Below are 13170 nucleotides of genomic sequence, written 5' to 3'. Positions count from 1 at the left end.
CGTTATTCTCTTTCAGAGTTTGTGAGCCTCAGGACTATCAATATTTGGGCAGCATTACTCTTTGTTGTGAGGGACTGTCCTGTGCATTGTAGGATGTTCAGCAGCATCCCTGACCTCTATTTTGTGACAACCAAAAATGTCCCCAAACATTGCCCACTCTCCCAGGGCAGGGGGCAAAATCATCCCCAATTTAGAACCACTCCTCTGCTATGTTTTTGCCCATATCCCATAACAACTGCACTCTCATATTACACTATAGGTGCACATTATAGTACTATGGACTTTTTAGAACATTTATCCCAAATTTAGCATTTGAATCTAAATCTGTTATAAGGATTCTCCATGTAATTTCCAGAGAGTTGTACAAGAGAATGCTGAACACATTGCATTCATTTTTCAAAAATCATCTGGATAGGGTGGTGCTTCATGTTTTCCTTCTTTAAAGGTGGCACGTATTATTAAATGAAAAGATCTCCTTCACCATTAATCCTCAGGAAAGTAACAATTTTTTTAAAAAGTCCTCTTTTATTGTTATGTAAATTACATCAATATGTATTTTTTACATATTATATTATCTTCTTGTTTGTCTATACTAGAACACATGTTCTAATTGCAGTGTAGGTGGAAAATGCAGTTAATATCTGAAGCTGTCTATAATTTACACAAATGTATCCAATAATGTGTTCATTAAATGTTAAATAATCAAGTATTAGGTGCTTTTTATAATGCATAAATTCTTAGTAGATTATTAAATAAATGTTTAAGAGAGTTTTATTGATTATTGGAGAAATTGGGTTTTTGCATGTACTAAGAATGCATTATTATTTTTCCCATTTACAATATAAATTATTTGCTTCTGTTACACAAAAATTTGCCTTCTCACATGTTTTCAGGAGTGGATTAGATTTAGATAATTAGAAATGGCTATAGTTACATTATTTGAGCACTTATGTAAAGCTTTGTGCTAAACATTTTGTATAGGTTTTTTCTTTAAAATAAACACCAGCAGACATACTTCGACAGGAAAAATAGAGAATAGATGTGGAAGAGAGGTAGAAGATCTCTCATTTTAAATTTTTTAGAAAATATGTAAGTAATTCTGGCTCTTAACTCTGACAGGAGATAAAAATCTGCTTGTTATCGTAAGGTAGGACATTTTGTTCCCTTACTTTCCAATTTATTTCTCCATCCACTGAATTCTAGCTTCTGCCCCCACCATATCACTAAAACTCCATTTGCCATATTCATCAATAGCCTCTTGTGGTGAATCCAATAGGTTTTATTCCTTATTGTATGTGATTCCTTGACTTTCTTTAACACTTTTAACCATTAGGTCCTTTTAGAAATACTCTATTCTCAAATGTTTATCCCAAGCCAAAATTCTTGCCTGATCTGCAGATGCAATATTCAACTAAACACCAGGCATCACAACTTAGATGTCTTACAGACACACCTATGATTCAATTATGTGACTGAATTCATCACATCTTCCTCATCCCAAATCTGCTTTTCCTCCTCTGTTCACCACTTCAATAAATGGCTTCATATCACCTCAATATTTTGAGCCAGAAATAAAGCATGATCCGTGAATTTCCCTGTCCTTTGCTCCTTTACCCAACCAGTCAACAAATCTGTTGATATTTTGTCTTTAACAGCTCTTAAACCTTTTATTTCTCCATCCTCGCTGCTACCACCTTAGTTCTGAATCTCACAGTCTTTGACTACTTTATGCAGCAGTTTCCTAATTGGCCTCCCAGGTGGTCAGCTAAGTATAAAAATAAAGTGCTTATTTTCCTGAACTGACCAATCATGTATGCTAAAATAGATAAGACACCTGACACAGCTGTCAGACAATGCACAATGTGGAACTAGGTACAACAAGACTGCAGGAAGAAGGCAATGAGAGTACTACCAAAGAGCCAGGGGACCTTAGTTCAGGTGGGATATAAAAGGCAGCTAAATGTGACTACCGAGTGTCATAAGGAAAAAGCCAAATTCTAAGGCAAGGACAAGAACCAAGGATCAGCAACTACTGAAACCAACCAGAATTACAGACAGAAACCAGGGAGCAGCAGTAGAGGGATTTATAGGATTCTGCAGAATATCTTATTTTTATCCAGACCATTTTTAATAAACCAGGTGTACACTTGCAGGTTCTTATACAATGGCATCTTGAAAGATGTCATGTAGCATCTTCCTTGAGATACATGGTCTTAAGAAGTGGGGTAAAATATTTTAACTGTATCCACAGTTAGAGATGACTGTATTGAGTCACAAGTGGTCAATAGGAGGGAATAATTCAGTAAACTATTCTGGAAAAAGATAAAATATATGTCTAATTATATGTCAATTTCAGCGCCTCTACCTCAACTTCATTCTAGGAGATCTTAAGGCAAAGAACTTTGCCTTTATCTCATATATAACTCTCTGTTTCTGCTTTGATATCTGCTTAGGCTACATTGGTCTCCCCCTTAGCATAATTTTGCTTATTTTGAAACAGGATTTTGTACAATTTGTTCTTGCTGCTTGCCATTGTATTAGACAAAGTGTTGACATGATACGTTGTTCTTTAGGTAGTAAACAGTCTGTAAAAATAATTAGTTACAGATAAATAATGCGTATAGCAAAGGATGTCATTTTAGCTAAAGTAAATACATGGAAATTGGTAGATTCTGAACAATAAGTTTCTTTAGGCATAAATTAAAATAATGTTTTGAGATATATATACCTACTAGGTATCCACAAAAATAAAAAATAAAATAATAATAAAATAATGTTTTGTTTTCCAATCAATATCAAGTTCTTGCAAATAATTCTTAGGCTTTGAAAACTACCTTCTCTTAATTTTTGGTGAAAATGTTAATGAAAGTAGATAAAATTGTTCTTTGCCTATCCAAATGTTACAAACTTGTATAGATAAAAATGTCAGGTCACCACATCCCTTGCTTAGTTGATAAATACAAGAAATGTACACAATAGAATATGAAGATTGTATTCTGTTTTTTTCAATTTTGTTGTTGTTGTTGATGTTGGTTTTTGTTTTGTTTTGTTTTTATTTTTATTTATTTATTTTTTTGAGTCTTGCTCTTGTGGCCCAGGCTGGAGTGTAATGGCTTGATCTTGGCTCACTGCAATCTCTGCCTCCCGGGTTCAAGTGACTCTCCTGCCTCAGCTTCCCAAGTAGCTGGGATAACAGGCATGTGCCACCACACCTGGCTAATTTTGTATTTTTAGTGGAGGCAGGGTTTCTCCATGTTGGTCAGGCTGGTCTTGAACTCCCGACCTCAGGTGATCTGCCTGCCTCAGCCTCCCAAAGTGCTGGGATTACAGGCGTGAGCCACCACGCCGGGCCTGCTTTTTTCAGTTTTAAGAAATTTAATCTGATACGGGCAAAATAAACATAAAGATATGCAAGAATTATGGAACAGATTATATGAAATGCTGTACAGTTAAGAGTAATTAATAATGATTATGATAGCTATTAATTAATAAATTCATTCTATTTGTAAGTATTTATAATAGTGAAATAGAAAGTGACTTTATGTTAATGGATCATGAGAGAAAAAGAAAAGTTTGTTTGTTTTTTTTTTTTTCTGAGACAGGGTCTCATTCTGCCACCCAGGCTGGAAAGCAGTGGCATGATGATAGCTTACTGCAGCCTTGAACTCCTGAGCTCAAGGGATCTTCCTGCCTCAGCCCCCTAAGTAGCTGGGACTACAGGTATGCCACCACACCCAGATAATTTTTTTTTTTTTTTTTTTGAGACAGAGTTTTGCTCTTGTTACCGAGGCTGGAGTGCAATGGCGAAATCTCGGCTAACTGCAACCTCCGCCTCCTGGGTTCAAGCAATTCTCCTGCCTCAGCCTCTTGAGTAGCTGGGATTACAGGCATGTGCCACCATGCCCAGCTAATCTTGTATTTTTAGCAGAGACAGGGTTTCTTCATGTTGGTCAGGCTGGTCTCAAACCCCTGACCTCAGGTGATCCACCCGCCTCAGCCTCCCAAAGTGCTAGGATTACAGGTGTGAGCCACTGCGCCCAGCCAATTAATTTTTTAATTTTTTTGTAGAGACAGGGTATCTCTCTGTTGCCCAGGCTGGTCTCCGATCCCTATCCTCAAGCAATCCTTCTACCTCAGCCTCCCAAATTGCTGGAATTACAGGCAAGGGCAATTGCACCTAGCCAGAAAGTCTAGGTTTTGGGGAGAGTGGGTATGTGGAAATGTAGTAGAGGATAAAACCTGTTCAAGGTATCATCTAAATGTCTTGACCATAGATACTTTTTTCACATTTCTTCTGAGAAGACAAGATTTTTAAAATTATAATATTCTCTACGTCCAAATGGTTCGGTGCTGACAATTATCCCAACATCACCTCCATATTAACATGGTAAAATGCCACAAGGAGCAACTCACTGATGCTACCTAATGATCTGATTCTCTGAGCTAAAAAAAAAAAAAAAAAAAAAGTGTATTTGCACAAACAAGGTGATGTCAGGATCTAATAAAAGTATGAAGGGCCTGAATCAACAAATATGTACCTGGTTGATATTGCCACGTCACATCAGCTTCTAGTCTTCTGTTGTTTCCAGTGAAACTACCTTATATTTTTATCATACTGTATAGTTTGCAGAAAGATTTCACATAAATTATCACATTGGATCTGAAAGAGAATACAGTGAGTTGAGTAGGGCAGATTTTTGTCAATGATATACTAATAAGAAATACAGACATCTAGAATGTGGCCATAACATATAATAAATACGATGCTGATTTATATCTCCCCTCAGATTAGGAGCCGGGGAGGGATGAGAAGTTAATTGAGCTGAGCATCTCAGGAACAGGAAGTCACAGCTGAGCAGCGAGAGTTGATTCCACCAAGAAAAGAAATCAGCCTGGACAGAAATCTTCATCTCAATACCAAAAGGCCCTTTTGAGTTTTTCTAGCAAGAGTCCCCAGTTCCGGGAAGCCAAGCACAGGGCAAACTCTCTGTGTAATGGCTTCCAGACTGCTTGGTTTTGGATCCCTTCTCACATAGTCTGAAGGGAAAGGAGGCGTACTTATTTCATTAGATTATATGGAACATCAGAAATCAGGTGGGGTGGCAGTGGTGGAATCTCTTAAAAGTTTTTTGAATTCCTTAGTCACTGAACTGGTTCTAGTTAAAACTAAAATCCTGAGCAAAGAGATTAAACAAAAGAAAACAATATCACAGATACTGAACAAAAGGAAATAGTTCATGTATCTGAAGAGCTCTTTAATCCTAAGCATAGTCAAGAAATAGTTGAGGGGACTTGCCTAAATCAATTTCACTTCAGAATGAAGACAATGTCTGGGTCACTGACCAACATTAATAGAAGAAAAAAAATCATTAGCTAAATAATGAAGTGACAGGAGTGAAGGAAGGTGAGAGGAAAGAACACACTAAAAAGGAAAACAGAAGACATGAGCAAAGTACAAAGGAAAAGTAAAAGAAGTTGAATTTTTCTCATTTTTTTCCACTTTGATAAAACATTCAAAACAAAGAGTATAACCATACCTACTGTATAAAGGTTTAACATGCAGGAATTAGTTACACATCAACATAAGACCAGTTAGAAGTTCACGTCCAAGGTCAATGATACATTTTTCTTATTGCAAATCTTATATTTAGAAACCTAACTATGAGGTATGAGGACTGACCCTGACAAAAAGACAAACATTTTACAAAACCAAAATACACCTAATTCTCTAAATAAAAATGTTTTCATCAACACATTTTAAATATTATATCTCTAAAATCAGGATAAGTTTAAGTCATAATATGATAATATGGAAAAATTTGCTTTTCAGGTAATGTAAAATACATGTATTTCTGCATTCACAAATACATTCCACTTGCTAAATAGATTTTGGTTTCGATTTTACTGACATATGCTTAATAAACCCAAAGTTCTAAGCATGTTCTTTTAGTAAAATGTCAATTTGCACATACATTCAATTTGCTTCCAGTCTTTTTTCCCATATGTTTATTGACTTTTAGCTTAGTCCCTGAGGTTCTTACAAATTATTTTCTCTTCCCTTAAGATGGGGACTGATGTAGCTCAAGCTATGCACCTAAAAACTTAGTTGTAAGTAAAAAATAGAACAATAAAAATAACAACCTGGAGTTATCTCAGTTATGTGCTCTGCACCAAACAAGACACTTTGTTAGGTAAATCAGTTATTAGTGCTTCATTTCAGAATAGTCTCAATAAGATGTTTTTGCACCTTATTGTGGATTTTAATAAATTTTTGGCTGAAACAAATTGAAATTTATCAGCCTACATAGTGATATCCACCATAGGCAAATATATTCAGGGAATTTCTGTTTGGCTAACAACATCTTCCAGTGAACACCCCCACTCCGTTTTTGTCACACATGTGGTGGTAAAGAAAGGGAAGAGAAAAATCTTTGGAGATGTTGTGATAAAACACACAATTGTAAAGTCAAAATGCTTGGTGGAGAGATTCTATTTTCTCTAGAAAAAGGTATATTTCAATTTACCTCTGCCTCGAACAATTGTCTAGTCATATTCTGACAGTAGTTTAGTCGCTTGCCGTAAGTCACACAGTTTGCAGCATTGCTAGAGAAAGAATCTAAAACGTGATGCTCACCTCATTCAAGACTGTATCTTTTTTTAACAGGAAAAAATGGAAAAAGTTTTAAGTTAAAACAGAGTTCATAAACATCAACGAGGGGTTGAAGAGGGCAGTCTGAATCCCACAATTTTTTTTAATTATTATTATACTTTAAGTTTTAGGGTACATGTGCACAACGTGCAGGTTTGTTACATATGTATACATGTGCCATGTTGGTGTGCTGCACCCCTTAACTTTACACTCAACTATGCATGGTCCCAGATGCCCAGATAACTCAAACTTATGGTTTGAAGTTTTTGGTTACTGGCTAGCATCCATTCTGATTGGTTGCTATATCCATTTTAACTGGTCTATTTATATTTAACAGCTTTATTTACTTATTTTAGAAACAAAGTCTCACTCTGTCACCCAGGCTGGAGTGCAGTGACACAAACATGGCTCACTGTAACCTTTGACTCCTGGGCTCAAGTGATCCTCCCGCCTTAGCCTCCTAAGTAGGTAGGACTACAGGCATGTGTCACCATGCTTGGCTTTTTTTTTTTTTTTCGAGATGGGGTCTTGCTATGTTGCCCAGGCTGGTCCCAAACTCTGGCCCTTAAGCAATTCTACCACCCTGGCTTCCCAAAATTCTGAGATTATGGATGTGCGCCACCATGCTGGGCCTTAACAGCTTTATTGAGGTAAAAATTGATATGTAACAAACTGCTCATATTTAACTATATAATTTAAATGTATCTCTACGTATTCACCTGTGAAGCCATTATCACAATCAAGATAATGAACACATCCATCACCCCCCACAAAGTTTCCTCATGCCTCTTTGTAATTCCTGCCTCCTAACCCTCTCCAATGATAACTGCTGATGTGCTTTTGTCCCTATACGTTAGTTTGAATTTCCTAGACTGTTACATAAATGATTTGTATTTATTTTTGTCTAGCACCTTTCACTCAGAATAATTATGTTGATTCTTCCATGTTGTAAAATGTATCAGTGGTTTATTCTTTTGTATTGCTGGTTAATATTTCATTGTTGGACTATACTATGATTTGTTTATCTATTCACTTGTCCATGGACTATTGTCTAAATTTTTAGGGTTATTAAGCTATGCAGTATTGAGCTTTAGATGAGTGTACAACTATTATTCCATTTAGCCTATTTTTCTAACCCTACTTAGCAGTTCCTCATTATGTAATTCTTCGAAGGAATATTTCTATTTCACAAGACGTCAACATCTTAGGGTTTGCAAGCTATTGCACTTTTTTCCCCTTTAATTTAGGCTGGATTGGTCAGCTTAGTCAGTCAACAGTGTTTGAGAGACCTGAATAGCCAAATTAGGAAAAAGTATTGAAAGTTTATCTGAGATCCTTGGGAATGAAGATAGTTTTCCACTGAGTTTCATTGATTCTTTTCTTACTTAATCTTTTGTTTCTGTTTGTTTGAAGAAACTATGTAAAACTGAGGTGTTACTAATTTTTTAAACAAAAATTAATTACAGTCATATTTATAACTAAGCTAAGTGTAAAAGATATAGTTAGGGGGTAAACTCATTTTTATTTTCTAATTTTGAGAGGCATTTTTAAAACTAAGAGTGTTTTTTTTTTTGGAATTGAAAAAATCTATTGATGTTCTTCTTTTAACTGAAGGATATAAGACCAAGATGGGGCAGATTTCTAATTTTACTGATTGGCACTGTAGGAAAATGCTCATATTTCACAGGTATACCATTATTAATGCCCAATCCCGTAGTCCTTTTTCATGCAGAACTCCCACTGGGAGTACCACATGAGAAAGAAATGCAGGATGAGACCCGATTATTATAACTCACAAGACTAATTATGACTTTGAGTTTTCCTGGATAAGCTAATTCTTTCTGCACCCTGGGATCAGTAAGCACAAAAGTAGTCTCACTGCATTTAACATTACGTATATTTACAAATAAATTCGAGACACTAAACAGTATTTCAGTTCTCCTCCATTTTCTTTGTAGTTTGTTTTTAAAATTGTAAAAAAAATTTTAAGACAATGTCACAGGTGTAGTTTTACTTTAAAAATAATAATAAAGCACACACCAGTCATTTATTTTTTGGCTTTGACTCATCTGTTTTAAATAGACTGTTTATTTTTATCAGCATCACTGGTGAGTAAGACTAAGGAGGGACATGGGAAAGCAAGGATTAAAGAGAACTTGAAAGAAAAAAGAACGATAGACAAATAGGAGTTGGAAGGAAAAGACAGAAAGAGAACGACTGTTGTAGATAAAAGAAGACTGTGGCAGGAGGGGCTTAATTTTCATTTTTATTTGTGGAGAGCTTTGTGAATGACATAAAATGATTAGATATTCTTGAATGATTTAAAATCTGTGTCTGATTTTCTGGCTTGACAAATCTCACAATCAATGATTCCAGAGTTTTCTATGATGCCACTATCAACAAATCCCTCCAACAGCATTTTTTATTCAGTTATGCATTGTATCTCTATATGAGAGAAAGTCTTTTTGTGTACTAAGTAATTTCCATGTTGTGAGGTTTCTGGTCTTCAGATACCTCCAATTTTATGCTTTAGTCAGAAAACTCACATAGCATTCAAAAAGGAAAACTCAAAGCAATATAGACTTTTGTGCCCTTTACAAAGAATTAGAGCTGTGTGCCCCTACCAATATAGCAATATATTATATAAGGTCAATACTCCTTTTCACATGCCTCTAATGCAGATACATTTTATGAGGTAGAACAGCAAACACTGAATCACTCTAGTAGAGATGCACAAAACAAGTAATTACAGTTAGTTGCAGAAAAATAATTATCCAGTTGTGTGATGAAAACCAGTTTTTAACTGGGAGGGGAAATTCTACCAAAAAAGCATTTGTGAAAGCTAAATGTTGTGATCTGGGAAACTTCCAAATGCAGCTGTATCACCAAAGAGAGGTACCATGCTTTTTTTTTTTCATAATAGCACATTGTACAATGGTACATTGAATGTAATACAGTATGCTCGTGTACAAGGCACATATAATTACTGCTATTTTCTGTTGACTTTTCTGTCTAAATGACCATTTTCTCTATTACCAATTCATCTAATATTTTAGCAAGAATACCCTTTATTGTCACTTAATGCTTACCAGGTAGTCCTTGATTATGATTAAATAGACACCAAGGATCACTAACAGTTCTTATTTGGTGTCGGCTATTACTATCATAAATGTTACCGCATATTACATGTGTTCAAGATATATAAGATAGCATTTAATATAGGAAAAAAAGCAAATGGGGCTTTATTCATAATGTGGCATATTTTTCTATACATTAGAGAGGACATCAATGAAATGTGTACATTTCCACAGAAGGTATTTATCTCAAATATCTAGTGTTCATTCTGCTCTTACATACTCCTAACCCTCATTGAAGCCAAGAGGATTTTGCTTCCTTACTGTTAAGCATGGCTGTTCTGGGCCTTTTAACTAAATCCACTACCATGAATGAAGTTACAGCAGAAACAGCAAGTACAGCTACATTTAGGCTTATATCAGCATTTCCGTTTAACACATTTTATAACTACATTTAAGGAATGTGGAGGTTATGACATGAAATGACAAAACCCAAGCATGTGAGCTGGATGAGACTATCTTTAGCCAGGCTTCCTGGGCCAACGGGAGTGAAGTATATGGCCTAAAGAAAGAGGCTCAGCTTTGCCTCAGAATTTTCAGGAGTGTGGAGGCTCTTTTTAAAGTCTGAATATTAAGCATATCTTATCTATATACCATAATGGCATCTGTGGCCAGCAAACAAGCCTGTGAAGCTCGAGGAAGTTTCCATCCTAATCCTTTCAATTGCTTCTTGCTACTTCCTCCTCCCTACAGCCATATACTGGACTCCATACCACTACAAAATGAAAAGAGCAAACAAATAAGACTACCTTTGGGGCAATTTCCATGGTTGCTTTCAAATGAAATGCAACTTTTCTGCGTTTAGTAATTTGAGTTACTAAACTCTAAAACTGGTTTAGTAATTTGGGTGTAGAAAAGAATTTGTCAAGATAGAACCTTTAAAAATCCATTTTATTATATGATGATCAATGTTAAAATAATGACAAATCTATCTATATTGCACATACCTGTATACATATATCTGTATACTCTTGTGAAATATAGAAACCTTGGTGTGCATACCAAAGGCTCTGTATTCATTTTTGCTTAGTTATTATCATTAACATCTTTGGGACATTTATCCATTGTAAATCTATCTTTATCTCCTCATTTTCTAATCAATTGTAGAGCTTGATAGTAAATACACATGTTAGTGTGACATATTACATTGCCATTAATAACAAATTATTATATACCATATTCTAAATGTTTTAGCAGACTAACATTTTCTCTTGGCAATTTTAATGATACAGCATAACCAAACATAAATTCTGAAATTGTATCTATTGAGATTTTGAATGGAAAAATATTATTAAATCTGTTGCTACTTTGCAAGCTATTTTATTTTTAAAAAGGTAATGTTTTCTTTTAAAACATGGAAAGATAAATATTTGTTGCTAATTTCATACATTTATTTTGGCATACAGCATAGTGATTATTAATAATTGTTCTCTTTAAAAAGTCGACTACTCATTAGGGGGATTGGGTTTTTAAATATAATGTTAAGATTAGTGTAATTAAGTACTTTGAATTCTAAAATACTCATTTAACCACTCCTAAAAAAAATCTAAGTTGAATGCTTTTAAAAGTTCTTCAAAAACCATTGTCAGTTTTATTTTGTAAAATCCTTTTCAAAAATTAGTCTACCACTGTGAAAGAAATGCTTTTAATAGAGAGATGAAAAAAAGCGGGGAGGAGGGATTCAGGAGGAGAAAAATGTCAAGTGAATCAATATGATTAATTAAATTAAATGTGGATTCATAAAGCTCATATTCACAGATTTACACAATATATTCACAGTGACATTTAAAATATGTTTGGAAATCCCTAAATAAAGTCCCACGTACATGAAGACATTTTTCATCTTTAAAAAATAAAAAAAGTATCTACGTAATAAAATCATATATCTTTACTGCTAACTACTATATATGTTAATAGTTCTTTGACAGAAAAACAGGAACAATTTTAAGATGTAAAACTTTTAAAGGAAAATATATCCAGTTTTGCTACTTTCTGAGAGGTTTATCCTTAAGCCTATCGATAATCTTGGCTACAAATATAACATAAATACTTTTTCTTGTTTTTAATCCATATCAAGGTCGTTTTGGTGTTAAGCCATTAAATTTACAACTCTATGCTGTTCTTCTACTGGGTCACTAAACTGTTAAAACTTAGCAGGTCAAATATTTATAAGAATAAATGTTAATTTGTACAAGTTGTGAAATATGATGTAGAGGAAAAGAACTGGTTCTTAAGTTTCTGAAATATATTTAAAAAAAAAAACTCAGGCAACAACACAAAGACAAAAGTGATACCTTAAACCTACTTGTAGAATTAATATCTCTGAATGATAAAAATGACAACAGGGTCTTTAACACAACATAACACCTAAAATAAGAGATTTGGAGAGAATATCCAGGTTCTGACAGTACTTACTGGTGTGATTTTTATGTAAGTCAATTTAACTTAAGAAAATTAATAGTCTTTAGGTATTAATTCTGAGTTGTTTATGATTACTCTGTCACAAAAGTCTATTAATGTTAGTGGGTTTCTCCTCCAATCCTGTGTATTTCATATTAGTATAAAGCCTTTTATTCCTGCTTTCATGAAGAGTATATTATATTGCTTTCACAACAACTCAGTCATAGCTCAAGCTATTTTAACAAATGACAATTTTTCCCTGTAAAAAAAGTTCCAAGATAAAGATTTTACATCACAGAGAAAATGGAGGAAAATTGAGAGAATACTTTATTTCCTTTAGTAGCTTGCTATTGATGATGAAAAACAAGGAAACAAATATAATTGGTAAAACAAACTCCAAAGGAAGTTTCAAGTATCTCAAATAGGGGAATATTCTTAGTTGTAAATAGCTCAATTTTATTTCTAGAACCTAAAATATGTATCACTCTCCCCCCCAACCCCAATCTTGCTTCCAATTTCAATACTTCAGCCTTATCAAGTAAACAAGCTATTGTTAGAATAGAAAACCCAGCTAAGGTTTGAGGGCTGCTGCCACGTCCCTCTCTTCCTAGCACAATTCGGTGCCAATAGCTTTTGGAAAAGGGAAGAAAGAAAGGTCTGCCACTGTGGTGTGTGGAAGTAAAGGGGCAGAGGGGCATCACTTCAATCTCTTGGCTCTGGTTCTTTCTCACTCTCGCATCTCCAGGGAAAAGAGATGCTCTTCATTCACAAAACAAAACAAGAAAATCTCTATAATTATTTTTGGCTCAGCTCCATTGAAATTCATTCTCCTGGAAGCGTCTCTGTTTTAGATTAAAACAATGCTTAGAATATTCATTCTCTGCTCCCCTTTTCTTTCTTTCTCTCTCACTACCCCTGCATGCCACCCACCCCCAACCCACCCACCCACCACCATTTTCCTCTTGCTTTCTCTGTTTCTCAGTCTTG

The 13170-nt window shown here is 34.8% G+C and overlaps 2 long non-coding RNA genes across 6 annotated transcripts in view; one reads left to right on the top strand and one right to left on the bottom strand.

Moving 5' to 3' along the window:
• The window catches only part of LINC02060 (long intergenic non-protein coding RNA 2060), a 30109-nt gene extending 24358 nt beyond the window's left edge, over window positions 1-5751 (top strand). Inside the window, exon 6 of the long non-coding RNA NR_105021.1 lies at window positions 4788-5751. This is a non-coding gene — a long non-coding RNA (long intergenic non-protein coding RNA 2060). The remainder of the gene's footprint in view (window positions 1-4787) is intronic.
• Window positions 1-13170, bottom strand: part of TMEM161B-DT (TMEM161B divergent transcript) — a 167793-nt gene that overhangs the window by 21942 nt on the left and 132681 nt on the right. For 4 of the 5 annotated variants that reach the window (NR_039993.1, NR_105019.1, NR_039994.2 and 1 more), the window contains one exon: window positions 4539-4660. The exons of the other annotated variant lie outside the window; for it this stretch is intronic. This is a non-coding gene — a long non-coding RNA (TMEM161B divergent transcript). The remainder of the gene's footprint in view (window positions 1-4538; window positions 4661-13170) is intronic. 5 annotated transcript variants of the gene reach the window in all.

The sequence above is a fragment of the Homo sapiens genome, chromosome 5 (assembly GCF_000001405.40).
Source record: "Homo sapiens chromosome 5, GRCh38.p14 Primary Assembly".
NCBI lineage: Eukaryota > Metazoa > Chordata > Mammalia > Primates > Hominidae > Homo > Homo sapiens.
The sequence above is the reverse complement of the archived record's forward strand: the minus strand, read 5'-3'. Positions and strand labels throughout refer to the sequence as shown.